The sequence below is a fragment of the Homo sapiens genome, chromosome 4 (genome assembly GCF_000001405.40).
Source record: "Homo sapiens chromosome 4, GRCh38.p14 Primary Assembly".
NCBI classification, from domain to species: domain Eukaryota; kingdom Metazoa; phylum Chordata; class Mammalia; order Primates; family Hominidae; genus Homo; species Homo sapiens.
This window is the reverse complement of record NC_000004.12, coordinates 74,867,837-74,895,136: the sequence shown is the minus strand read 5'-3', so window position 1 is coordinate 74,895,136 and position 27,300 is coordinate 74,867,837. Positions and strand designations below refer to the sequence as shown.

The window sequence follows — 27,300 nt, the reverse complement described above, 5'->3', positions numbered from 1 at the left end:
TTATCACCAAAGTAACACTGTAATGTTGAGGCTAAGCTTGTCAACCTGATCGTTATTTTTTTCTATAGTCTTTGCACATCTCTATAGTCTTTCATGAGGACTTCATGTTCCCCTATATTTTACCTTCTCTTTTTAATAACTGCAGTGTTACACTTCCAGTTTTATTACTCATACTTTCTAAGAGCAGAACATGACATGTAAATATACGAGTCCTTTTCCTATTATAGGTCTTTGAATATGAATTTACTGCTCTCCTGTTTCCACATTCATTTTTTCATTTTGATACTTTTCTTATACCACCAAGACACTATCTCATCTTGCCCTAATAAAAATGAATTGATTTCTTTATATATTTATCCATTTATTTAACAAGTACTTATTGACTACTTACTATATGTCATACACTCTGCTAGGCACTGAGGGTGCAATGATGTTTAAGATACATTTCCCTACCCTGAAGGACTCACTCTTGTAATGGGGAACACAAGGTCAGCTGGTGGACACCAGATGGTACCTGACAACTCCTTTCCTTGGACATTTAAGAAACATTGTTCAGATACTTATTGCTTATCCCAGAGGAAGCCCATGGCCCTTGGCAAGGTTTTGTTGTTGTTTCACACTCTATGGTCTTATAGTCTCATGGTCACCTCATTCTACAATTGATTTTACTTGTTTTTCGCCTTCCGTGGCTATCCTATTTTCTATGCCATGCACAGACCGTATGTGGAATTCAGTCCCCTTTTCTTGATTTCCTATGAAACATAAGGCATTAATGCATGTAGTGTGCATTATTAAAGGTTTCAGGTGATGTGATGACAAAGGACACATGGAAAATAATTAAACTTGAGTGTTACTCTCTTTTTAGAATTTCTTAGGTCAATTCTACTATCAGGAGCTGGCCGATTTTGCGCTAATGACCTCCCATATGTGGGTGTTGTCTGATCCTTTGCTCCCTCTACAGTGTCCTTGTATTTGGAATTTGCTTCCAATTCCCTTAATTCTTTCTCATTTTGAATGCAAGGCAATTTTATTCTTTGTTTCACTGAACCATTCCAAATCATACTCTGGAGGTCTCTCCTTTTACAGCCACAATGGACTAGGAACCAATTTTGTTAAGTAGAAGGCTTTCTACTCTATGCAAAAAATTTTACACTTCCTTAGGGGCTGAAGTGGCTGCAGTCAGTGTTGGTTTTAAATAGTGATGTAGTTTTCCCCTCCCTTACATATGTGAACTATATATGGTGCTGGGAATCACTGTAGAGATCTTAGACCATGCTATGTGCTGTGGGAGTCAGAGAAGGTACTTCAGAAAGTCAGGAAAGCTTCCCAGAGATGAGATCTGAACTGGTTTTAAAATATGAGGACGAATTTACCTGTCAAAAAATTGGGGGAAAGGCTGAATGTTTTATTTTAGCTTACTGTATAAATATTCATATAATTAAGTGAATCTATTATTTGTAATTAGCAAAAAGTATAATAAATCATTTTTCACTTTATATATTAAAATATTGTTGTCCTTTCTCAGCCTAATCTTCTATTATTTAATATTTTCAAATCCTTTCTTTCACTGAAGCTACATGTTATCAGCCTCCCCTCCTGCTTTACTACCCTGCGATCCACTATTTCAACTATGTCCTCTGGATCTGGCTTGACTGTTCCCTCTTTCACCATTATCTTATACAGCTTGTCAATTATTAATGCTAGATAATCCCCACATTTCCCTTTTCCTCTGGCTCCTTTCTTACTATCCCCAGAGAAAATTATAAAATGAGAACTGAAAGTAAAACAATCTCCTGTCCCTACGCTAAATAATAACCGTAGGCTTTCCTGTTTCATGTTAAATAATGCCGAGAACAAGAATAACTTAGCTTCTTGTCACAGCAAATATTTACTCCTCAAAATAAGACTCTGAATCAATTAAACTAACAGCTTGATCATCAAGATTTGCTTTGAGACCCTTGCCTTACTGTGCACATTATTCTAAAGCTGCTGGGTCATAATGCTCCATAATCCCAACCAGTGACCTGCCTTGCAAGACCTGCCTAAAAACCACAAAGTCAGATCTTAAAGCCTATACATATCCCCTTCTGATTTCCTTCTTCCAGGATGCTACTAAGACTCTATCAAGGGGCTCTTCTCTGTCACTGAAGAAAGTCTAATAAACTTAGTTTTGCTTGCTACATTTTCCTGTTGTCTTTTAGGGGAGTCCACAAGAATCATTCTCATTTGATCTCCTATAGCTCCAGCTATAATTTCAGCTTCATCCTTCCCACAGCTCAATTCTTTCATTCTCATCTATTAAATAATAGTATTTGTAAAACTTTTCTCATCCAGTTTTCAAAAGCAACATTATATCCCTCCATTTCAGCAAATGCTCTAACTTCATTCTCTCTTCTGTATCCTAAAAAGATAGGAAATGAGCTATAAAAAGTTTCAATGTAGAGCTATTCTTATGCTCTCTATTGGTGTCTATAGCTCCTGGGGTGGTCACCTCACTGACTTTTCTCTTTCTTATTCATCTTCAGCCATTTGCCCTTGAAATTAATGTGTCCCACAAGATTATCTTTTCTTTTTACCTTTTCTTGAGGCCAATCTCATTCAGTTCCACAGTTTCAACGATGGTCCTTATGCAGATAATTTTACTAATTAATGTTACCAGTTCTAATTTCATATGAATTGCAGGCATAAAATCATGACAAGAATGAACCCTGGACTCAATACTTTGATCTTTCTCATGATCTTTCTTTCTTGTCCCAGATCTGATCTTTCTCTTAAATTTTTCATCTCAGTTAATAAACATGCTAATGACCATTCCTTGACAAGAATGACCATTCCTTGACACGGAAAACCAGTAATAAATGAATAATAATAATAATAATAATAACTAATCTAGTTGTGGTAGGAGTTTTGGTTATGCAGAGCTCATTTTGTTTTTCTCAGCAGTTGTAAAATGAAATCATAAAGCATTTTTGCTCTACCATTCAGATGTGTAAAATAAAAATAGAACTTCTTTATTTTCTATGTTGGATCAGAAGGAATGAGAGCTAACACTTAGGTGTATGTGCCTAAATCCATCATGATCTTTAAAAACTGACTTGCTTCTTTTCCCCAAAACCCCCAAACTGCAGATGTCTGTAAGTCTTCTTTCTGCCCATTCCCTTCCTCATTCTTCCCATTGATGGGGAGCAGAAAGAGTCACAAAAGACTAATATTGTGATAACTCTGCCCAGGAGGACTAGCTACCCTGTCTCCTGTTGGAAAGATTAAGTAAGAAATTGGCCAGGCGCGGTGGCTCACGCCTGTAATCCCAACACTTTGGGAGGCCGAGGAGGGCAGATCACGAGGTCAGGCGATCGACACCATCCTGGCTAACAGGGTGAAACCCCGTCTCTACTAAAAATACAAAAAAATTAGCCGGGTGCGGTGGCAGGCGCCTGTAGTCCCAGCTACTCAGGAGGCTGAGGCAGGAGAATGGCGTGAACCTGGGAGGTGGAGTTTGCAGTGAGCCGAGATTGCGCCACTGCACTCCAGCCTGGGTGACAGAGCCAGACTCTGTCTCAAAAACAAACAAACAAAAACAAACAAAACAAAACAAAAAAGAAATTAGTCTTGTGTGGCTTATTAGTCTTCCATTGTAAATGGCACCTTTGGTGGATGAATAATTTAGGCAATGCAGGGAACTCAGGTTAGAAAGCTATTGTCACTGGTTTCTTGGATGGAGAGGTTGTGGCCAGGAGAGTTGCACCTCCATTCAACTATGGCCCTCAGGTTGTTTTGTGCAGCAGGACTGCTGAGTTTTGTCTTAGTCCTCTCTTCTACATGAGAACCAAACACTTGGGCATGCTGGCTTAGACAGTTTATCTCTTTAAAAATGCTGTGCTATCATTTTCAGTGTGCTTTTTTGGTATCATGTTACTGTTACCATGGGGCTAAACTGCACTTTGGTCTCCTTCAGAATTTCAAACAGTACATGGCACAAAAATTCTTTAACCTTCACCTCTTTTAACTTATATGCTGTAACAGAGAGATTTTCTGCCTGCGACAGTGCAGGGTCTCCACAAGACATGCTGGGCTGACTCCTGCTTCTGTTCCTCTCTGTTCATTCTCATTCACAGATATTCCTGGGCTGGGACTGAGCAGATTTTCTCTTACATCCCTTCTCATCCTTATTCCTATTCATAGAGGGATTTCCTTCACATTATTGGATTCATTTTCATAGTGGAATGCAATGCCCCCACCCTTCCCCAAAAGTATAATGGTAGAATGGTTACCAGAAACATGCTTTCTGGGTGGAGCAAAGTCCAAATGAATTTAACTCATTTAAAGTATTATCCCTGTTGTCACAAAATTCATTGATATATAGAAGTTTTCTGGGCAGGGTATTGGCAAATTTGCAAAGCGTCCTGGTGAAATTCCTGCAGAGAAAGGACTGAGAACCAATCCTTTCAGCCTGAATTCAAAGTTAGAGACATCATATTTGTCAAAGTAGAAGGGATGTCTCTGACAGAGGCCTAGTGTCAGAGAAAGGCACTCAGGCCGGGTGGAGCAGATGGAGAGAAAGAAACCTTGGCCTCTGGCTCATCAATTTCTCAGAGAGACTCAATCCAAGAGGAAAGAGATACTTGGCTCGACTGGAGAGAGGCACACATGCAGGGGAAGGGACATAAAACAGCATGCTTTGCCATCACCGTTTACCTCATCCAGAAAAAGAATTTCTTTAGGAATTTAAATAGCTGTGAAATAAATTTTAATCGTTTGTTGCTCTCAAAATTTAATAAAGCTGATCTGTTCAGTTAGCTTTCTGGCCATCTGTCACTGACAATCTATACCTCTGTTTTGAAGAAATCTCCATGCCCCAGACATTCTCTGCTACTCTGTCCTGCCCTGTTCCCTGAGCCTGGGGACATGAGGCTGGTGCTGACATTTGGGTTCCCTGACAGCGATGCTGCCAAAATCAGTGATGCAGATTAGGGAATCTGCCAGGCCCTCAAGCCTATTCTGCTGGACAGTTTGGCCAATCACAAGTTTGTCACTTCATCTCATGACTGTGTACCTGCTAAGGCAGCAGTTAGGATTTTAGAAAAGTGGGGGTAGCCTACATAGGGGCTGCAAGGCTACTGCTTCCTGATCAGGCTGTCATGTTTTATTATACAAATATGACCCATGCAGTTTCTGAGTTGGTGATGGGGATGAAGTGCTAATGGACTGTAGTGTCTTCTCTGTATTATCATATTTCTTTTATTCCAAGGCTCACTATCAACTTAATAACTCATTTTTAGAAAGAAAAAAGCCACACTATTTCCATAACGTTAAATGTATGTATTAATTGCAAGGTGTGTGTCCTGACTTCAGAAACATTTAACCCACAGGGAACACCTTCATTAAATGATCAAGAGAATATAAAGACTTCATGAAAATATAATGATTATGTTGGCCAAGAAGGACTCATGGAGTGTGATGAGAAAACAACTTTACCTCCTGTGCACCTCACCAAGCCCACTTTGACGTCTGTATGTAGGGGTAGCTCTTTTTGGTTACCCTGCATGGTTCCAAAATGCAGTTTCAATTCAAGACTTAATATGTCCAAACCAAGTGAGGAGAGAGAAGAATTAAATGATCCTCTTACTAGGATTTTTTGCCTGAAGTCCATTTGGCACAAGGGAAGGCACTGATTCCATCTGATTGTTATGACTCCTTCCTTTATCCCCAAGCAACCAGTGGAACCTTTCTAGGTTCCTTCTGCTGAGGTCCCCTCGGACCTTCAGGTGTTTTCTTAGACAGCATCTTAGAAGCTTCACACCAGCTTTCTCATGCATAATCCTCAGGAAACACCCATGCTTTTTCACCCTAAAACCTTGGGAACACAGGACAATCCCATTAGACCTACCACACCCTCACTTCTCTATCAGAGATATCTCATCAAAACTACTGTGCTGAGACCACATACTGCCAAATTCTGGTGGCCGTTTACTGGATATTGCCTTGTCTTACTTGGTACAACTATTGCTCTGTGGGCATCCCAACTTCTTTGTGTGTAATTTTGGGCCTCCATCAATGACCAATGCAAAAACATAGGAGGCCTTTTGATGCCAGGATTCTGCTATGACTGAGGCAAAGTGAAGAAATGCCCTCTCTCCTTTTGCATCAGAGTTTGTTAGAAGGATCACAAAATACTGTTTTTTTTTTAAAAAAAATCTAGATTTATGGGTACAAATTAAATTGTGTTACATGCATAGATTGTACAATGGTCAAGTCAGGGCTTTTCAGGTATCTTTCACCTAAATAATGTACATTGTACTCATTAGGTAATTTCTCCTCATCCATCCTCCTGGTATTCCCTCATCTTTTCAAGTCTCTGTTGTCTATCTTTCTACTCTCTCTGTCTATGTGTATACATTTTTTTATCTCCCACTTATGAGAACATGTGATATTTGACTTTCTCTGTATAACTTGTTTCCCTTAAAATAATGACTTTCAGTTCCATCCATGTTGCTACAAAAAACACAATTTTATTCTTTATATGGCCAAATAGTATTCCATTATGTATACACACCATATTTTCTTTATCCAATTATATGTTGATGGATACTTATGTTGATTCCATGACTGCTGTTGTGAATAGTGCTGTGATAAATGTGAGTACAAGAATCTTTTTGTTATACTGATTTCTTTTCTTTTGGGTAGATACCCAGTAGTGAGATTGGTAGATCAAATGGTAGTTCTATTTTTAGCTCTTTGAGAAGTCTCCATACTGTTTCCCATACAGGTTGCACTAATTTACATTCCTAACAACAGTGTATAGGAATTCCCTTTTCTCTGCATCCTCATCAGTGATTCTTATTTCTTGACTTTTTATTAATAGCCATTCTGACTTAATTTGCATTTCTGTGATGATTAGTGATGTTGAGCGTTTTTTCGTATACCTGTTGGCCATTTGTATGTCTTCTTTTAAAAAATTTCTATTCACATTCTTTGCTCACCTTTTTTGTTTGTTTGTTTGTTTTTGAGACAGGGTCTCACTCTGTTGCCCAGGCTGGAGTACAGGAGTACAGTGACACAATCATGGCTCACTGCAGCCTCAACTTCCCAGGCTCAAATGATCCTCCAACCTCAGCCTCCTGAATAGCTGGGACTATAGTGTGCACCACCATGCCCGCTTAGTTTTTTATTTTTTGCAGAGATGGGGGGAAGGTGGGTGGTCTTGCTGTGTTGCCCAGGATGGTCTCACACTCCTGGGCTTAAGCAGTCCTCCCACCTCAGCCTTCTGAAGTGCTGGGATTGCGGGCATGAACCATTATGCTTGGCCTCTTTGCCCACTTTTTAATAGGATTATTTGTGGGGTGATTTTTTGGAGTTGTTTGAGTTCCTTATATATTCTGTATATTAATCCTTCATCAGATGAATAGTTTGTAAATATTTTCTCTTATTCTGAAGGTTATCAGTTCAGTCTATTGATCGTTATTATTATTTTTTGTCACACAGAAACATTTTAATTTGTCTCATTTGTCTATTTTTGCTGCTGTTGTGTGTGTTTTTGAGGTCTTGGTTACAAGTTCTTTGACTAGATCAATGTCCAGGAGAGTTTTCACTAGGTTTTCTTCTAGTATTTTTATAGTTTGGGGTTTTATGTTTTAGTTGTTAATTCATCTTGAGTTGATTTTTGTATATTGTAAGAGATAGGAGTCCAGTTTAATTCTTTTGCATGTGGCTATCCAATTTTCCCAGCACCATTTATTGAAAAGAGTGTCCTTTCCCTAATGTGTCTTCTTGTTGACTTTATCAAAGATCAGTTGGCTATAAATATGTGCCTTTATTTTTGGGTTCTCTATTCTGTTCTATTGATTTATGTGTCTATTTTTATAACAGTACCATGCTGTTTTGGTTACTACAGTCTTATAATATAATTTCAATTCAGGTAATGTGATGCTTCCAGCTTTGTTCTTTTTGTATTTGGGCTCTTCTTTGGTTCCATATAAATTTTAGGATGTTTTTTTCTAATTCTGTGAAAAACAACATTGGCATTTTGATAATGATAATGCACTGAATATTTAGATTGCTTTGGGCACAATGGCCATTTTTACACTGTTAATTCTGATTCATAAGCATGAAATGTTTTTCTGTTTGTGTCATCTATAATTTCTTTCATTATGTACAAAACAGTTTTGACCCTATATTTTTAAAAGTTGTTTAGCAAACCCAGTCTTTTGGTTTTTATTAATTAATTTGCTTTTTCTTGAACTTAGACATGGAGTTAGGAGGCAAATAAGAATAATAAACACTTATGCATCCAAAATAACTACCTTTCTGTCAACTAAGGCTTTGTTGCTGTCAGACTCCTGGAGTTTGGTTTTCTCTTCCTTAAACCTGAGTTCTCTCAGGAAGCATCTGGGTCATTCTGCAATGGCCAGCAGGCTGGCTGCCACAGTAATTAGCCAAACATGTCCAGACATGTTGCATACTCAAGCTGGGAGCTCAGCTTCTGGTGATGAAGTAATCAAGTGTCATAATAGAAAAGAAGCTGACGAATTCAGATCGCTATCGTTTGGTGGATGGAGCAACCAAGGTTGAGAGAGGTAAAATTATTTGGTCAAGAACATACACTGGTTAGTGACAGAACTCACAAAGCCGTCATCTCCTGATATCTTGACAAGTGCTCTTTCCACTTCAGAGTTCTGTCTGTCTTTACCAGATGAGGATATACTGAAATTATATATAGAAAGTATCATATTCAGAAAACTGCTTTCTGGTTGCAGAATCAAGTAACATTATATATCCCGTGTGTTAAAAAGAGGCAGCAGAGTTTAATTCAGGACAATCCTATATATGTGGAATGTCTGCCAGTTCTAGATGGTAATGTTGTCAATTGAAAAAAAATTACAGAAGAGAAGATTCACTCTTTTTTCCCCTTTCTTTTTTTTTTTTCTACTTCAATTACACTATGGGTTTTCCCAGTAGTTTCTTCAAATCTGAGGTAAAGCTTGGCAGATTGGGATTGATGTCTTCTTTATTATTAGTCTAGATGAATGGAAGCTCCTGGTAAATTATGGGGATTTTTGAATAAAATGGACAACGTTTAGCCTTCCAAAATTAGTCAGAAAGAATGTTAGTCTTGAAGATAAACCCAAAGACTTTCCCATGGTAGAGTAACAGAAGCTATGAGAAATGTCTAGGTGGAATATGTTCAAGGCATCCCAATATCGTATGGAAATGCAGATTAGAATTCTTGAGTCCCTAAGGAGGGTGCAGAAGTGGCTGGTCAAGAAAGACCTCAGCAGTGGAATTAGAAAGACAGAGAATTTTAATGAGTGGACTGAGATGTGGAGGACAAGGTGGGATGAGGGCCTCAGTATCATGTGCTAAGAGGAAAATGACTGAGGCCCAAGGCCAGTCAGGATTAACTGTGCTTCAGTGGAGACTGGCAAGGACTGGCAAAGACTCTCTCCTTGACCAAAGTTAGGCTCCTCTGAACCCTCTTTTTGACTAGGCCTTGACCATAGCACTATCCTGTCTTTGGTCTGCCTAGATCAGTCTTAGTGAGGGATCCTGCTAAGTCATCTCCCCACCCTTGATATCTGATCAAATTCTTTATCCCCCACCTTTGATGTATAAGTCTTTGGACTGACTTCAGAGTAAGAATTCTGTTATGTTAGCTTAGCAAGAAGCCCCCTACTCTTGATCTCTCCTCTTAGTAATTTTCTGTCTAATGACTCCTTCACTCTGCCCATTGGCTGTAAGTACTTGTCCTTGCTATATTCAGAGTTGAGCCCAATCTTTCTCCTTTATTGCAAATCTCTATTGCAATAGTCTTGAATAAAGTCTTCCTCACTATTCTAACAAGTGTGAGAATAATTTTTTTTCTTTAGCAGGACAGAGGAGGGCACACAGACCCCACGCACCCTCTTTACCCACCAACTGGGGCTGGGATGCTATGTAAGCTTCTGTTAAATCCAGATGCTGCCTGAAAGTAGGGGAGAAACAAAACCCTGAACCGAAGAGAAATTAACCAAAAGAGCCAGAGAAGTAAACCACAAGAACTAAGTTATCTTGAAACGGTACAATTAAGTATTTCTGTTTGCAGTAAAAGTTGGGGCTGGTAAGTCCAGGTTTAGAAAAGTAAAGTTGTATGGCTTTGTGTATCTCAGCTACTTTACTTCATTTAAGAACCATATATTTCTTAAAAATATTGCCTCTAGGGTAATTTAATTTTTTTAACTCCAGAAAAATAAAACGTACCTTTTGCAGAAAGTGATTAATGTGTATTAACAGAGATATTTCCCTTATCACATTAACCCTCTGTGCTTTAAGGATAGTCAAGAGAGCTGCTCAAATTTTGTTATTTCTGGAAGTTTTTTTTACTGTGAACCTTTCTCACTTAGTAATTCTAAAAAAGTGTTTATAGCCTCAGGTATACCTCTCTACCACATAATTTGCATGTACTTAATCAGGATCTTATTTTTATTATTAAAAAAATCCAATCCCTATGAATATCAGTGTTTATGAGCTCTCCATCTAATAGCCAGAGAGGTCTGTCTCACTCAGCCTAGCTCTCTGCAAAATTTAGCGAGTGGCTGTTCATCAGGCAGTAAATGTCAGGGTGACAAATTGCCAAATCCAGGGCAGCTTCTCCTCCCAGCAGTGAGCACTTTTCAGATCATTTTGCTTTTAAGCATTTTTCCCCTTGTTTCTAATGGAAGAGAGAGAAGGGGGAGGGAGTAACGATAGTAATGCACTTTGTTCAGTCACTTAGTTCTAAGTCAATAGTTTTCCCCAATGCAAAGAGATGTTATTCCCTTTATAGCTCCAGGTCTGGTTAGATTTCTGAAAGGTCAGGGAGCACATTGAACACATCAAGGCATCATGCCTCATTTTAAAGGTACAATTTTTTCTTTCTTTATCTCCTGAAGGACGATGATAATATTTCAAAAGTGTAAGGAGTAAAATGATGTGTAGTAAAAATACATTTATTACTATCTTTTGCAAATTGTGGAATGGTAGCTCTGATATTCTGACCTATTTGCTGAAGCATTCGGTATGCAATTTGTCAGCTGATATTTATAGTTACAAGAGCTCTTTCTTTAGAAAGAGGTCCCTTTGTACTGGAATCTGAAGGAAAAAATGGGAGTGTAAATTGGGTGTATTTAAAAATAATCTGCTGAACCAACATACTTGGAACAATGTGTCATCAACCATTCTTTCTCTCATTCTATTCTCTAACATATAGTTATATAATCAAGAGAAACTTTGTGGCCAGGGATGTACCTGCAACTTGAGATGAAAATTTGAGGACGAGTACCCTTGCAGTGGTATGAGATTGAACTGAATACTCACAACATCCCTTCCAAATTTGAAATTCACTTATATAATTTACACTCTTAAATTTTCTTTGGCATCAATTCTTTGAATAATTCAGGTGATAAGGTGTATGTATTATCCAAGTTCAAGGCCACTTTTTTACTGGTAGCTTTCTTGAGATGAATGAACTTTATTTCCCATATTTCATCTACCATGGAGTCTGGCAATGGTGTTGGAATACTATCAATCATCAAACATTGTGATTCCTTCTAAACTATTACTTTTCATCTTTCAAGCAAAATTCTTCTCTCTCATGAGGCTCCTACCTTCATATTATATCATCTTCCTTGGTATCATTCAAGTTAGCTCACTCCTGGTCTTTCTTTATAGTCTCAGTCTCGTCTCTTCACATTATAATCATCATGTGTGATGTCAGGGCCCATGGCTTTTAATAATGTACCAACCTGGCTTTAGAGTTCCCTGACATCCTTAACTTCACTAATTATCATCCGATGACAGCAATCTATATCCATGGGCACACCTATTATCTTATTGTTACATACAACTGTTCCACTTCTGGAATTCTAAATTCCATTTTAGTCTAACCTCTAAACCTAATTTATATTTGCCTTTGACCTCATGGAAATTCTTGATCCAGTCATTTCTTCCTAGCTTTTACCTCCTTAATTACTCAAATTTTCCTCCTATTTAGATCTCTTTTGCCTATTTATATCTAGCTGAGATTCCATCCACTATAAGAAAAAGAAGATTCAACCAGTAGTTTAGTTTAAATAAATAGTTGCTTATTTTTCTCATGTAATAGAACATTTAGAGGTAGGAGTTTACTTTAAGGGTTTTTGATGCTCTGGAGTGTTTTGCTAGGGCTGTAACAAAGTACCACAGTCTGAGTGATATAATCAACAGGAATTTATTGTTCCAGAGTTCTAGAGACTAGATGTCCAAAATGAAGATGTCGATCTGCATTTCATTGCTTTAGGGCAAAAAAAAAAAAAAAAAGAAATCAAGGTGTAGATAGGTTTGTCCTTTCTGAGCTTGGTGGGGAAGAAACTGTTCTATGTCTTTCCATTAGCTTCTGGTGGTTTTCAGGCAACTTTGTCATTCTCTGGCTTATAGAAGCATCACCCTGGTCTCTGCATCCTCACATGGCATTCCCCTGCATGTGTGTCTGTCTCTAAATTTCCCCTTTTTATAAGAACAACAGTCAGATTTGATGAAGACTCACCTCAATGACATTTTAACTTGCTTACCTATGTAAAATCCCTATTTGCAAATAAGGTCACTTCATGAGGCACTGAGGGTTAGGGCTTCAACATTTAAATTTTAGGGGGACACAACTCAGCCCATAACATATTCCGTAATGTCAACATGGCCCCAGGCACTTTCTACCTTTCTTCTCACCATCCTCACCCTGTTGGCTTTGATTCTCATGGTTTTTGCCCCAGGCTTAACAGGTAGCTGCTACACCTCTAGGATTGCTCCATACTCCAGACTAGGAGCAGGAGGAAGCAAAAATGGGCCATATATCATCCACATCTTCTCCTTTTCATCAGGAAAGCAAAACCTGTCATGAGGTCATCTTCAGTTGAAATAAAAACTGGGAAATAAGTATTTCCAACTTCAGTAGGAGGGGAAGACAAACTTTTGTTGCCCCCAAACTTGGCTTATGTCTGCCTTTCCTATTATAGCACCCAGCACTGGTGAGAGCCCCTGGAAAAAAACCATCTTCCAAACTGGAACCACTGCTAAGTCATGGTCTCCACCTGAAGGGGTCTTTAGCATTATTTTGAAACAGTTTTACATACCTCTGATCAGCTCCCTCATCTGGCCACCATGGCAACTCCAAACCTTTACAGTCTTCTTCACTTGCTTCCTGCTACCTATACTCTCTCACTATAAAACTTGTGGTAATTAATTGTGAACAGTTTCAACTACCCTTTCCCTTACTCTACTGGTTTTCACCTTCCTTCTATCCCCTTTCATTTGGTCAAATGTGATTCCCTAATATAAGCACTTCATCTTGTTTCCTCTGCCTCTCCTGGGATTCTGCTGCATGGAGGGTCCATTATCCTGTTTTCATCCGTTCCTTCTCTACTATCTCCTTCAGCCTTAAGTATATTCAAATTTCTTCCACCAAAACATAAACAAATATGTAAATCCTTTTATCAACACATATATACATTCTTCTCTGGCTACCATTCTTACCTTTTCTTCTTATCTTCATGATAAATTTCTTAGAAGAATAGCCTTTGTTTGTTGTCTTCATCTCTTTACCTTTCAATCACTCTTAATGGTACTCTAGTCAACACCTTGCTAATCTACTGAAATTGCTGTGGTGGTAATTTCCAGTGACTTCGAAAGCGCCAAGTCCAATAAACTTCGTCAGTTTCCACTTCCCACCTTATTTGACTTAACTGGGGCACTGGAGATGTTTAATACCATGGCTTCTGAGAGGTATCTCATGGCTCTTCTCCTCTCTGATTTGTCCTTCTTTCTCTACTTTACTGGCTTCTATTCTTTTACGTGTACCTTGAATGTTGTGTTTTCCTTGGAGGTTGTTCTTGGCTTCCTTCTCTGTTTGTTCTCCATTCTCTCTCTGGGCATCTACTTCCCTGTTTTCACCATGACTCAATTCTCTACCCAACTCTCCCCTGAGTTCTGATTATTGTGTCAAAACTACTCACAGAATGCTGGTTCCTGGTATTCCACAGGTATCTTAAACTCAACTTACTCAGAGCAAAATTTATTATCTGCTTTCTTTCCTGCCTCCACCATCTTTCTTTCTCCCTTTCTTTCTTCCTTTCTTCTCTTTCTTTCTTTCTTCTTTCTTTCTTTTTCTTTCTTTCTTTCTTTCTCTTTCTTTCTTTCCTTCCTTCCTTCTCTCTCTCCTTCCTTCCTTCCTTTCTCTTTCTTTCGTTTTTCCTTACACTAGTAAAAATGAATCCTACATCATCTCAGATGCTGTTCTTTTTATTCCCGCCACTGAGTGATCACCATGTTTTGAAGTTTCTAAAGCTGAATTTCCTTCATTTCCATTGCTCCTTGTGGTTCATATGATTTTTTGCCTGGTTTAGAGGAACAGGCCAAACTGATGTCCCTATCTCCTGTCTTACACCCATCCAATCCATTTTCCAATCTTTCACATTTTTAATGTCACAATGCCCATCAATTCATAGACAACGATGCTTCAAAAAACTCTTATTAACAGGACACACCTTCCAATCTTTGGTTTGCCATGAAGGCCCCGCGTAGTCAAGCCCCTATCTCTCAGGCCTTAACTCTTGTTGCCTCTCCCATCTCCAATAACCCTATGCTTTTGCTATATCAAAATATTTGCAGTGTTTTCTATATATCCAGTCTTTTTCATACACACACATATATATATATATATATATATGCTTTGGTAATATAGCCCCCTTGGCCAGAAATATCCTCTGCTATCATTTGATGATTACCTCCTTATCTGAAGTGCTACTTTTATAGAGACATTCCTCACCCCTTCACCATTCTTTGGAGAAAAATGTCTATCCTCTTTTGTGTTCCTCCATATACTTATGTCAAAGCTTCTCCACACTTTATTACACTTTCTTATTTATATGTCTGTCTCTCCCTTTTAGACTGTAATGCAATTGAAGGATTGAAGGTAGGGACTGAACCTCATGCATCTGTGAGTTCACAGCATCTACAAAGCTTGGTGTGCAGTTGTAGGGATGTATATGTGAACTCTTGGTTAGCGGAGTGCAAAAACACTGAATTTAAATTTAAAAGATGAAGCTTAGGTGTTGACTCCATCATTTATCAGCTGTGTGACTTTGGGTAAGTCATTTGACGTTTCTGATTTTTAATTTTATGTGGGTATTTTAAAACTCTTATCATGTGCTAACCTGTGCATTTAACCAGAGAGTCTCCCTATCCCACCCCTCTATGGTGAGCCTCAGGCTCACATTTATTGGAAAGCACACTGTAAGCTGTTAAAATTTATTCAAATGTTGGCTGGTATTATTACCGTGGTCAATGCTTAGATATTAGCAAACATTGATGAAAATAAGAGCACAGATGAGTGACTTTCAGGCAACAATGTGCATTTGCTATTACTGGGAATAATGACATGCATTTATCCATTAGCTGAGTAGTGTTCATAACTCAAGATTAATATATAAAAAGGTCTCGCTTTTTGTTAATGCCTGAGCAGGCTGGCATATTTCGTTAGTTTTCTGTCTAGAATAACAATAGATTAAAAGCATTGAGAATACCCTTGAAATGCTAAATTACATTTAGGTTCTCTTTTTGGAAGTGTGCAAAAATTGTTTTTTGAGTCTCAACTCATTTGAACAGACATACTTTATCAAAGCCAACTTGAGGTAACATTGATACTGGCCATGAGTGCATATCTTTACATATTTTATATGGTGTTTTGTTCATGTATCAAACTAAAGGCCACCCTGTTAACATTCTGGCCTATGTGCCATAATCCCAGCCTAGTTGGAGAAGCTGCTTTCCTGCCTGTTTTGTGTTCTACTCTTTCATTTGCTCATGAGATTGTGATATTCTCCTTCATATCCTTTTGACAATTGAAAGCAGAAAGTATTCTTGAATATTCTTTTCAGTGAGCTTGTGGGATAGGTAGTATTTTCTGAGGCCTGGTAATTTTCATTTCTTTTTGTGTTGATGTTTCTTCTACTACTCTGCCCTACCACAACCTCTTCCTCTGACCAAGCCCTCAGTATCCTTACTCTCTGTCCTCTTTAGCAAAGCCTTTATTGAGCAGAGGAGATAGTAAGTGTGCAGTTTGTTGTTAAGGGCTGAACTGTGTTGTCCCAAAATTCATTTGTTGCAGGCTGAACCCCCGGTACCTTGGAATGTGACTATATTTGGAGAAAAGATATTTAAAGAGGTGGCTAAGTTAAAATGAGGCTGTTAGGGTGGGCTCAAATTCACTCTGACAAGTGTCCTTATAAGAAGTGGAAATTTGCACACAAAAACAGACACTAAGGATGCGGGCACACAGAGAAAAGACCATGTGAGGACACAGCAGAAAAAATTCAGATGAAATGAATCTGAAAAATTTAGAGAAACTAGAATTTGTGGAACTTGGTGCTTGAATATGGGAGATGAGAAAGATGGAGGAAAATTAGGATATTTAGATTGTTGGCTTGAGTGGTTAGTTTCATTCTGATGTCCTTAATGGAAATGGTCACTATAGAAAGAAGAGCAGGTGCTATAGTGAAGTGCGAGGAAGGATATTCTGCCTTTGTTTAGGGACATGTTGACTTTTGCAGGGCCCATGGGACACCGTAGTGGAGCTGTCCAACAGGTGCTTGTTTATATCAGTCTGGCCTGAGGATTTAGAGTTGGAAAATTACCACCATTCAAAGGTTAGTAACACCTAAGAGCAGTTTTTTTTTTTTGTTGTTGTTGTTGTTTTGTTTTTTGTTTTTCACCCAGAGGTTGCTTGTGAGAAGAAAGAGCCACAGGCAGAAGATGGAACTTAGTGGGATACGAGCATTTAGGGAATGACCAGTGAAATAGGAGCCTAGGAAAGAGATAGAGCACAATTGTAAGAGATCTGGGTGAGTGCACAATCATGAAAAGAAAATGGACAAAGAAAGTTTCAAAATAGGGAGGGTGCAGCTCTTTTTAAAAGCTTCAATTATTGACATTCAGTTATCAACAGTGATGTAAAGAAGTTTTTAAAATGTATATGGCTTTTCCTAGTGTTCCCATGTCACATTGTGGAGATGGCTTGGTATCCTTCTTCATTCTTGGCTCTTAAAACCTGATTCTGGCTGGGTGTGATGGCTCATGCCTGTAATACCAGCACTTTGGGAGGCTAAGGTGGGCAAATCACCTGAGGTCAGGAGTTTGAGACCAGGTTGTCCAACATAATGAAACCCCATCTCTACTAAAAATACAAAAATTAGCCGGCTGTGCTCTTGTAGTGCCAGCTGCTTGGGAGGCTGAGGCAGGAGAGTCACTTGAACCTGGGAGGTGGAAGTTGCAGTGAGCCAAGATCATGCCATTACCCTCCAGCCTGGGCAACAAGAGTGAAACTTTGTCTCAAAACAAAACAAAACCACCCAAAAAAACTTGATTCTACTTAACTTCAGCATGACCCTTTCTGCCTCTAAGAAAGTCAACCAATACTGTTTTCTTCAAGCTGCACAAGGTCCCTATCCTCATCTTTACTCCTGAAACTCTATTGGCTTAAGATTTGGTCTTGCATTAGGAATTCAAGAATCTGGTATCTTAACCTAAGCCAATGTAATAATAATGTTCTCCCTACTGACATACAAGTGGCCAAGAAACATATGAAGAAGTGTTTCACATTACTAATCATTAGAGAAATGCAAATAAAACCACAATGAGATATCATCTCACATCAGTCAGAATGGCTATTATTACAAAGTAAAAAAGCAACAGACGCTGGTGGGGCTGTGGAGAAAAGGAAATGCTTATACACTGTCAATGGGAATGTAAATTAGTTCAGCTGCTGTGGAAAGTAGTTTGGAAATTTCTCAGAGAAACCTAAAGCAGAACTACCATTTGACCCAGCAATCACATCACTGGGTATATATCCAAAAGAAAACAAATTTTCCTACCAAAAAGGTACATTTACTTGCATGTTTATTGCAGCACTAAGACATAGATCAACCTAGGTGCCCATCGACCATGGATTGGATAAAGAAAATGTGGTACATATAAACCATGGAATGCTAGGCAGCCATAAAAAAGAATGAAACCATGTTCTTTGTAGCAACATGGATGCAGCTGGAGGCCATTATCCTAAGAGAATTAATGCAACAGAAAATCAAATACCACATGTTCTCACTTACAGGTGGGAACTAAACATTGATACTTACAGACACAAAGATGGCAAACAACAGAAACTAAGGACTACTAGAGGGGGGAGGTAGGAAGAGGGACAAGGGTTAAAAAGCTAACTATTGGATACTATGCTCAGTATCTGTGTGGTGGGATCATTTGTACTCCAAACCTCAGCATCATGCAATATACCCAGGTGAAAAACCTGCACATATATCCCCTGAACCTAAAATAAAAGTTGAAAAAAAAAACTTCCCTTGAATATGTTAGCTTATTTTTGCAATTCCTGATTTATTTCTGGTTTTTAAGGAATTACAGAATCTTAGAGTTGGAAGAACTTTCATGGATCATCTTTCTCCATGAAAGTCTTAAACCCCGAAGTTTAAGAGCCCCTTTTAGAATATTCATGCCAAAATAATTACTCAGGCTGCTCAAAACCTTTCATGAGCTCATTGCATTCCAGGCAACCCTTCCATTGTTGATTGGATCTCATGGTAATTTTTGAACATGGCCTTGACTAGCCCACAGTGTACCTTTGTGGGAATTGGAAACAGGTGCTCCCTGGGGGTATATGAAAATCCTGGCAAGTTATGACTTTCACTCATTGAATCTAGTTCTGTGAACTACAGAGGGAAGGATAAATTCCATTTTTTTTATGAAAGAGTCATTCAGTATTCAAAGAGAACTATCATATTGTTACCTAAGTCTTCTCTTCAGGGGAACCTTCATTCCTTGTAGAAAGGACATGATTTTGATACTCTACTGCTTTGTTCTAGATGGAGTCCAGTTTGTCATTGCTCCTCTGAATTGAGCAAAATATTCCAAATGTGTTCTGATTGCGAGGTAGAAGTTTCCTGTAACTACACTCACTGTATTTCTACGAGTGTAGGCCGAAAGAACATTCACTTTTTCTATTCTGCCAGCTGAATTGCCCAATTGTTTAAAGGGAAACTTGAAGTCATGTAAAGAACGTGGCTTAATGAACCTCATATACTGTACAATTTAATTTTTGATTGTAGGTTCAGGACTTTTTCCTGATCTCCATTTTTTTTAATACTCCCTTATTAGGTGTTTTAAGAAGGGATTATTACTCAACAGATGTTAGTATCCTTACTCTCAAATAGTAGACTACTTATTCTTTGTTTATATTTTTGTTGTTCATATAGATGTTTTTATGATAAGAGCACTAATATTTTTAACAAATCCTTCTAATTGGCCTCTGCAAATTCTAGACTAAAGTCTCAGTTCAATTTCATAATGGTAACAGGAGTACGAGGCACCCTTGTGTTGTTACTTCCTTTTTATCTGTACTTTGCTCAGGTAGCTGCACTAGTAAACTGAATAGAAACTCCAATTGCATTTGGCTGGTGCAGCTGTGGCATCACTGTGCTAGCTATCATGAAGCTTTCTGCATGTCTCAGGCATCTTGAGAACAGCTCTACCATATCTTTGGAAACTCCAAATGCATTAGAGTCTGGAATATCCTTTCCTCAGAGACAGGAAAAGGAGGCAAGGAAGTATTCTTTCCGCTAAAGTCAGAATAAATAATAATGACTGTCTAAGGTCAATGTGGAGGGGTATCTCACAGCAGCCACTCTTCTTTGCTTGGTGACTTCCTGTTTAGCTAGTAAATAGGAAAACCCAAAGACATTAGTGAAAGTATTTCATTTTACCCAGACTTTGCCTCATTGTGAGCTGGTGAGCAAGTACAGGGGTTCACATAAAATGTTTGGCTGCTTCCAGAGAAACCAAAACCTACTTCAGAAAAAGATCAGCAGTGAGACCAATGTGTGAAGAGAACTTTAGGAAAACATAAAGCAAAACAGATTAGTGGCTCTCAACACCAGGTCCAATGAAAGGCAAGTGTTCCTCCAATGTCTTTGTGCCTGATCTGATTGATAATATTTATTTATTTTTTGTTTATATGATAGGCCCAATCTTCCTAGTTGCCCAAGGAAAAACCAATGGCTAAGTATATAAGGCTAAATAAGAGTGGATTCCTCTTCTCCTCTAGGTCTTGTTCAGTTTGCTGTGTTCTCTACTGCCATCTGGTGGTCAAGAAGGATCAATCACTGCCCTTGCAATGAAGAACTCTATGAAAGCGAAGGCTTGGCCATTTTGTGTTCAGCTCCTTCCAGTAAATACTCCATGGCATGATTATTTATTTTTCCTTTTCTCTTATTCATAAATCAGAGTGGCTGTTTGAACTTAACCACCCTTATCAAAATCTTTAAAAATATTTAAAATATTTTGACCCAGTGCTTCCACTTTTATAATCTCAAAGAAACATAAGCAGACAGATTTATGTATGAGCATGTTTCTCAAAGTGTTATTTATAATAGCAAAATTGGAACTACCACAAATGTTCAAAAATAGGAATTGTTAAAATTGGAGTGTTCTGTACCACTATTCACTCACGCTTTAGAAGAACATTTAATGACATGGGAAAATGTTTATAATATATTATGAAGTGAACAAACACAGTTAAAAAGCAAGTAAAACTTCACAATCTCCATTTTGGCTTTCTGTGTATTTCCTCCTTTCAAAGGCATGAACATATAATACTTTGGGAACCAGAAAGAAATGCCACCATAAATATTTTATAAATATGGTTACCTGCATGGTAGAGTATCAGTATCAACTTTTTTTTTAAAGTAACACGTCTTTTAAGATATCTATCCTAGAACTTTATTAAAAACATACTTCTACAGAATATCAGTGCAAAGGATCGTGAACAATTGCTTTAGTGTTCTTGGGATCAGGAATAATCCAGGAAGCCAGAGCATGCAGCTGCCACTTCAGGTTTGCTAATGAGTCTTGTGGCTAAGATAAAAAGCATGTTATTTGTTGCATGACCCTAAAGAGTTATTAATTTGTTCTAAGGCTTATATTTTGCTCCCAAGAGTTGTTGGTGGGGATGTGGAAGATGATGCAATTCAAATCACTGTGCAGTATGTGCAGTAACCAGAGCTCTATTTTATAATTGGACACAGTCCATTTCTTAAAGCTTTTTCAAGACATAGCTTTGAGATTTTTCTTTGTACAATGAAAAGGTACACAGAGACTGCTTTGCTTGCTTCACTGGGTAATTAGCCCACAAAGAGAAGATTGAAGGTGCTCTCACGGGTTTCTTTAAATGGAGCTAAGAGCAGCTGCCCTTGGGTCCTAGGAGCAGCTGTGTGGCTAGCCAAACCCAGCTAGAAGGTGTTCCTCCTACAGAGCTTTCTGTTTCACATTTGTTCACTTAATACATTTGGACACAATTTCCATATACATGGTTAACATGTCACTTCTGTCTACCCTAAGGGCACCAGGTGGTAGCTCCAAGAAGAGGAAATCATTTTCGGAGTTCCCTGCTGGCTCAATCAACACTTTTCACTTCTCCTAATGAGATGGTTAACCTGTTTTTTTCATTTAGCCATTTGGTCAACAAAACTTTAATGGCTGTTATAGAGTAGTTTATAATTTCCACACTTACAGGCATTAACACCATTACTATTAGATTGGGAAACAGAGATTCGACTAATCCTCCAGCTTAAGCTGAAAACATATCTCCATAGAGATTTTTCACTGAATTAATTCTACTAAATTCTTGGGTCAAACACAGTTAATGTTTCTGCTTAGTCATTTTTAAAGAAAAGAAATGAAATCTGGCTGGTATACATTAACCCGTGTGTGCTTCTTAAATAAATTTACAAATATAAATGGACTCAAACATTAATCAGACTATTATCTTAACATATTAAAAAATAAATTTACATAGCACACTGTATTAAAGTGAGTATTACAAACTTTTAGTTCTAAAGTAGTTGTTTCTCTTTGGCATGTTTCATTGGGCATGTTCCAGGAATTCAGTAAGTCCTCAAAGGTTGTTTTTCTGTATTGGTGCTACTTTCTTTTATCTAAGTAAAACATATTCTCAAAATAACATGCACTGGGAAGTATGATTCGATGCACAAATACTGCTTTACACATAGCTTTTGGGGACTATAATACCAGTTCTGTGATTGTCATAAAGATCTTTAAGATGTGGTAGGTGGAGTTATCAGTGTCAGAGTTACAGAAAATCAGGGACAGAAGAATTTGCTTTTTGAATTTAGAACCTTGTTAAGCCTTATCTATTTTGACTTCAAATATGATTTCAACCTTTAAGAAATTGCTTCCATTGTCCTTTCTGCCTAATGCACTTGGCTACTTTCTGAGGCTTATCATTCATCAAAATTTTAAGAAAATAATTTCCTTTTTTATTTGAATCAAGAAGCCTATGCAGAAAAAAATACTTTTCGTAAGTGTCTTGAGCTTAAGTTATTAACCTAGAACTTTAGATATTAGTAGTACATAAATTGGAAATAACAAATTAGCTACATTTAAATGGATTTATTCCAAGGCTTTATAAATTGATGAATAAAGTGGGCAAAAGTATATAGACTCATAAGATATGTTAACATAATAATAGTTCCAATATATTGGATCCCACTACAGATTGTTTTCTGCATTGAACCAGCTATTTATATACATAAATATCATTTAAAGTATTCCCTTGCCCCAAACTCTCCTTATCTAGTTAACAGTGCTATCCAATAGAACTTTCTGTGATGACAGAAAAATTTTACTTCTAGCTACATATGGCCATTGAGGTCTTAAAATGTGACTACTGCAACTGAGAAACTGAATTTTTAGTTTTATTTAATTTTAATCAATTTCAACTTAAATAGCCACATGTAGCTAATGGCTACTATATCTGATAGCACAGCTTTAATGCATTAGCTGGCTTTATTATCTTCAGAGTACTAGGCACAAACTATGATTATCTTTTTAGTTTCCTTGTTTCCTAATTATCTGTCTTCTCCTTGCTAGGCTGTAAACTCCCAGAAGGACCTGGTCTGTCTTTTTCACAGCTATATTATTATAATCTAGGACAGAGCTTGGTGTGTAATAGATACTCATGTTATTTATTTAAAATGCACATGTGTGTTATTATTATGTCTATGTTACAGATGATGAGGAACAAAGAGGGAACAACTTTTAAAAGATGACAGGGATTCAAACACAGGACTGTTTGACTCAAGCTCCAAATCCTTCCATTCTACTAGTTGGCCATAACTACACCCACGACTGCACTTCAGACTCCTGATAACCAAGCCCCAAGAATGGAAACTGTTTTAGTGGGATTAATACCCAAAGCTGACTAGAAGTTCCCTGATCCACTTTTGTTGCTAGCATTCTGGGCAGGAATCTTTCAAGCCATTGAGTTAAGGCATTCTCCCAGAAGTTTGAATGTACACATATTACTGTCAAGGAATAATAGTTTAACATATAATTTCCCAGATTGTTCATAGTACTTAAGAATTCTAGTGCTCTTTCAGGCATGGTGGCACACGCCTGTAGTCCCAGCTACTTGAGAGGCTGAGGTGGGAGGATCACTTGAGCCCAGGAGTTCAAGGTTACAGTAAGCTATGATCGTGCCATTGCACTCTAGCCTGAGAGACAGAGACTCTGTATCAATTTAATAAGAAGAAAAGGAGTTTTAGTGCTCCTTAAGATATAGTGAATTGCTCTTTTAGGAAGAGAGAAGTTCCAAAAATGTTTTTTCTAAAATGTATTTACAATGTATATGTTAAAAACAAATTACATACATTTTCTTGGCTGTTCTTGTTATTTTTAGATTATCTGCTTAAAACAAAGTGTGCCAAAAGTTTTAGGAAGCTACATGTAGAAACCCCTGAGGTTTGATTTATGCACTGATGCAGAGTGAGGACTTAGAAATACCTCTTTAGGTTAATGTAGGCAATCCAATTAAGATTCCTTGTCTATGTTGTCTGGAGTGGTAAACTTGCAACAAATTTGTGATATTATCACAATGTAATGAGTTAAACACTCATATTATACAAATGTATTCCTTATGAGGTGTAAGCCTCATAGTTTATGTAAATAAATCAAATCTTTAGAAAGTGAACAATTGTAGCCTTTGCTGTCTTAAAAGGTGAGAATTGTGCTTTTCAATATGAAATAAACCTTATCAATGGCAAAATGTAGAACCACCTAAATATTGAGAAACTTTTGTTTTATGTTATCTTTGCTATAATATACCTGTGCAAAATAAGGTTTCCATAGAATGTTGTACTGGAAACAAAATACAGGATAGGCATAAGACTAGATCCGACAAATGCTCTGACATGACAACAGCACTTCTAATACCAAGCAGTGTATATATATATATATATGACATAAAATAGTATTTTCATTTAAAAAATAACAAAAATATAAAAGTATTGATGCTTTGACTTGACATATATTGTCTTTGACATTTCCTGGTGGGGGTCTGGGATGCTAAGGGCACTGAGGAAGGTTTGGCCTGGCTCAAGTCCTAATCCTTCTCATGAGGGGGCAAGAACCAGATCCGGGGTTGGAGTCATTGGATGCTTAAGTGGAATATCTTGCACATGGTCATCAGGAGGGCTTTTCAGTTTGGAGGTTGAATGTCAGCCAAAGTTCTTAGAGTACATAAAGAGTCAAGCAAGAGAAACCAAATTTGATAACATCAAAGGTCAGAGCAGTCTCAAAAATTGGAGAGAGCTGAAAGTGGCAATTTATCGTAATGAGAGCAAGCCTAGAAACAAAGTAGATTGAAGCTCGTAGGTAAATGCATGAGCTGGGGGTGTTTTATTTTAATTGAAATAAAGATGTAGCAGTTGGCAGTATTGAGATTCGAACCAATCTGATAATTCAAACCCTTCCTCCTCTTCTCATTATAGGATTCAAATTCTTCTTCCATTTCTCACTATAGAAACCTTGTTGAGACGCACTTTCCTTTTGCTGGTAATAGTAGTCTCCATCTCATAGGCAGACTGTGAAGATTAAATGATTAAAATGGCATAAATCATTTAGCCCAGCATCTGTTACAGGTTGGTGCTCCATAAATATTGGCTGCTATTACTAAGGCAAGGAAGATTCTGGGCTGTCATCATGAACAGAACCAGATGAATCTAGGATAATGTAATAGTCACACATGTGCTTGGAATCAGACATAACTTGGAAAAGTTACTCAACTCTTCTTTTCTTTAGCAAAACAGAGATAATAATTACCTCACTGGTTAGCTGTGAAGGTGAAGTTAAATAATGTATATAAAATGCTTAGCACTTCACTGCCTGTTACAGGGCTAAAGCTCCATGAATGGAAGGCCCGTGGCCTGATTTCATTGGCTGTCAGCCATAAGGTGGACAGGCTTAAATGTAAAGAATTAGATCAACACTTTACAACTTGGCAAAAGCCAATGTGTGCTGATCCACGGCTTGGAAAACCTCATTTTCAAAGTTCTTCAGGCTGGTATGTCAGTGCTATACAAATGTACAAGAGACTTATGATTCCTAGAGCTACAGTAACATCTCATTATTGGAGTTGTTTTTCCTACTGCCCCACCTTAATGCAGTCTGAACATTTATTTGGGTTGCATGAAACACCATATTATCAAGGTCACAATTAAGTAAGGTTTTCAGATATGCCAATATTTTATTTCAAGTTCCACAAAAAGCTGATATTTTATAGAAAATGGCTGGAGGAAACATAGGGTCTCTCCCTTTTTGACAATTGCTATTTTTTTACTTTCATTTACTTTAAGAAGTTTATGACTTAAAAGAATAGAATTAGTAGAAAAGGAATCTAGCAAAAATGCGATGAGCAGTTTGCTGAATGTTGAGAATTCTCTCTGGTTAATTAAGGGGAAAAAGATGTTATGTTTAATGTTACACTTCAGAACTTTTGCATCTGTGCAAGACGCATAGAACCTCATCCTTGACTATGTAAGAATACTGGACATTGTAAAGGGCATGCCACTATTACACCATCCCTCGGCTGAGAAAACTCACTCGATTCTTCAGATATTCTCAAAGCATCCAGCTTGTATATATTTTGCTTTTGATTGTTTACATAAATCATTAGCGTGAATGTTACCAGTGTCATAATAGCCTTAAAAATAATTGATTTTTTGTTTATATGACATAGTATAATGGTTTAGATTTGATTTATTTTTAAAAACTCTAAAAAAGTCATTTTGAGTTTTTAAAATAACTTTTCCCTCCAAAAATTTATTTAATAATATAAATTAAAGCCCCTGTGGAGGCTTTGTAATGTGTCACATTTGTAATGCGATTAGGCTAGATTACATTTCCCAGAATTTGCTCTCCTTTATGTTTCTGCTTCTGGCTGTATCTGTAGATTCCAGAATGTTTTTGCTGTTCCCCATCTTTCAGCCATCTTTCATTCGCAACTGCCAGGTAATATTCTTGTAAAAATAAAATTCATATATGTGTTTGTGTATGTATATATATGTAGAAATTTTCTATATATACTTTATTCTTTCTCTAGTGGTCTACTTGTCTGACTAAATCTTGAGACAGTCCTCCTTCACCAATTCTAGCCTTTTCTCCAGAGAGACTTACAGCTACTAGTGTGGTGCAGCCATATAGATTTTTCTTTCTGTGCATACCCCTAAACATTGCCCAACACGTTTCTCACTGTGCTGAGTGCTTTCATGTGATTTAAAAAAGAGGATAAAGGCTAATATTGTTTATATTATCTTTTTGAAGTGTCATTTCATTGTTATCAATCTGTACTTATCTGTACTTATGTTTCTCAGTTTTGTGTGCTGAGCTGATATTTCCTCTTTTTGCTTGCAGTTAGTCTAATTAAGATGTTCTCTTAGTTAAAGTTTCTTCCCCATTTCTTAGGGATTGTTTATTCAGTTACCTTTGAAACCACTGAATAGATAGGTCATCTGGATTCAGAATGATCATTGAAAAGATGCATCTGCCTATTAATTAGCTTTCTGTTTTTGCTAAGTGGTTTATATATACTACTTCTGTTCACGTTTGGGTTTTATATTTTTCACTCCATTGTTTAGGTCAAGGGTGAGCATTCAAAATTTGAGATATGGAAAAATAGCCATTCATGTGTGTCTTACTTTCTTTGATTTATCTTGTTTCCAGCCTTTTCAGCCTCAGTGGAGGTCCATGGTTTGGGTATAAAATAAAATCATATTATTGAAAATCTGAATTATGTAAGACATAGGAGTAAGTACTGCGGGGAAATATAGGAAATTAATTTAAAAATCTCTGTTCTCTAGTTTATAATCTAGTTAGGAAAAATAAGGCATAAATATGCAACAATCT

At 37.5% G+C, this 27,300-nt stretch overlaps 2 long non-coding RNA genes across 3 annotated transcripts, besides 1 other annotated feature; one reads left to right on the top strand and one right to left on the bottom strand.

Annotated features, from left to right (window-relative positions):
- Positions 1–224: 224 nt before the first annotated feature.
- LOC105377280 (uncharacterized) lies at positions 225–13,605 on the bottom strand. The gene is made up of 4 exons (XR_938883.3): positions 13,516–13,605; positions 11,619–12,283; positions 8,301–8,700; positions 225–1,373 (listed from the first exon to the last, which is right to left on the bottom strand). It is a non-coding gene; the product is annotated as an uncharacterized LOC105377280 (long non-coding RNA).
- Positions 7,765–8,964: an enhancer, noted in NCBI's record as "MED14-independent group 3 enhancer chr4:75811383-75812582 (GRCh37/hg19 assembly coordinates)". NCBI's record gives its function as "activates an origin of replication core promoter dependent on BRD2, BRD4, P300/CBP and CDK7 cofactors, and independent of MED14, by STARR-seq in HCT116 cells {active_cell/tissue: HCT116}" and the evidence as "EXISTENCE:reporter gene assay evidence [ECO:0000049][PMID:35650434]".
- Positions 13,606–13,939: 334 nt separating the features above from the next.
- LOC105377282 (uncharacterized) lies at positions 13,940–23,387 on the top strand. Of its 2 annotated transcripts, XR_938885.2 has the most exons (5): positions 13,940–14,021; positions 14,928–15,126; positions 16,590–16,685; positions 20,147–20,269; positions 23,130–23,387. It is a non-coding gene; the product is annotated as an uncharacterized LOC105377282 (long non-coding RNA). The 2 variants fall into 2 exon arrangements; XR_938886.2 differs by lacking the exon at positions 16,590–16,685.
- Positions 23,388–27,300: the final 3,913 nt, after the last annotated feature.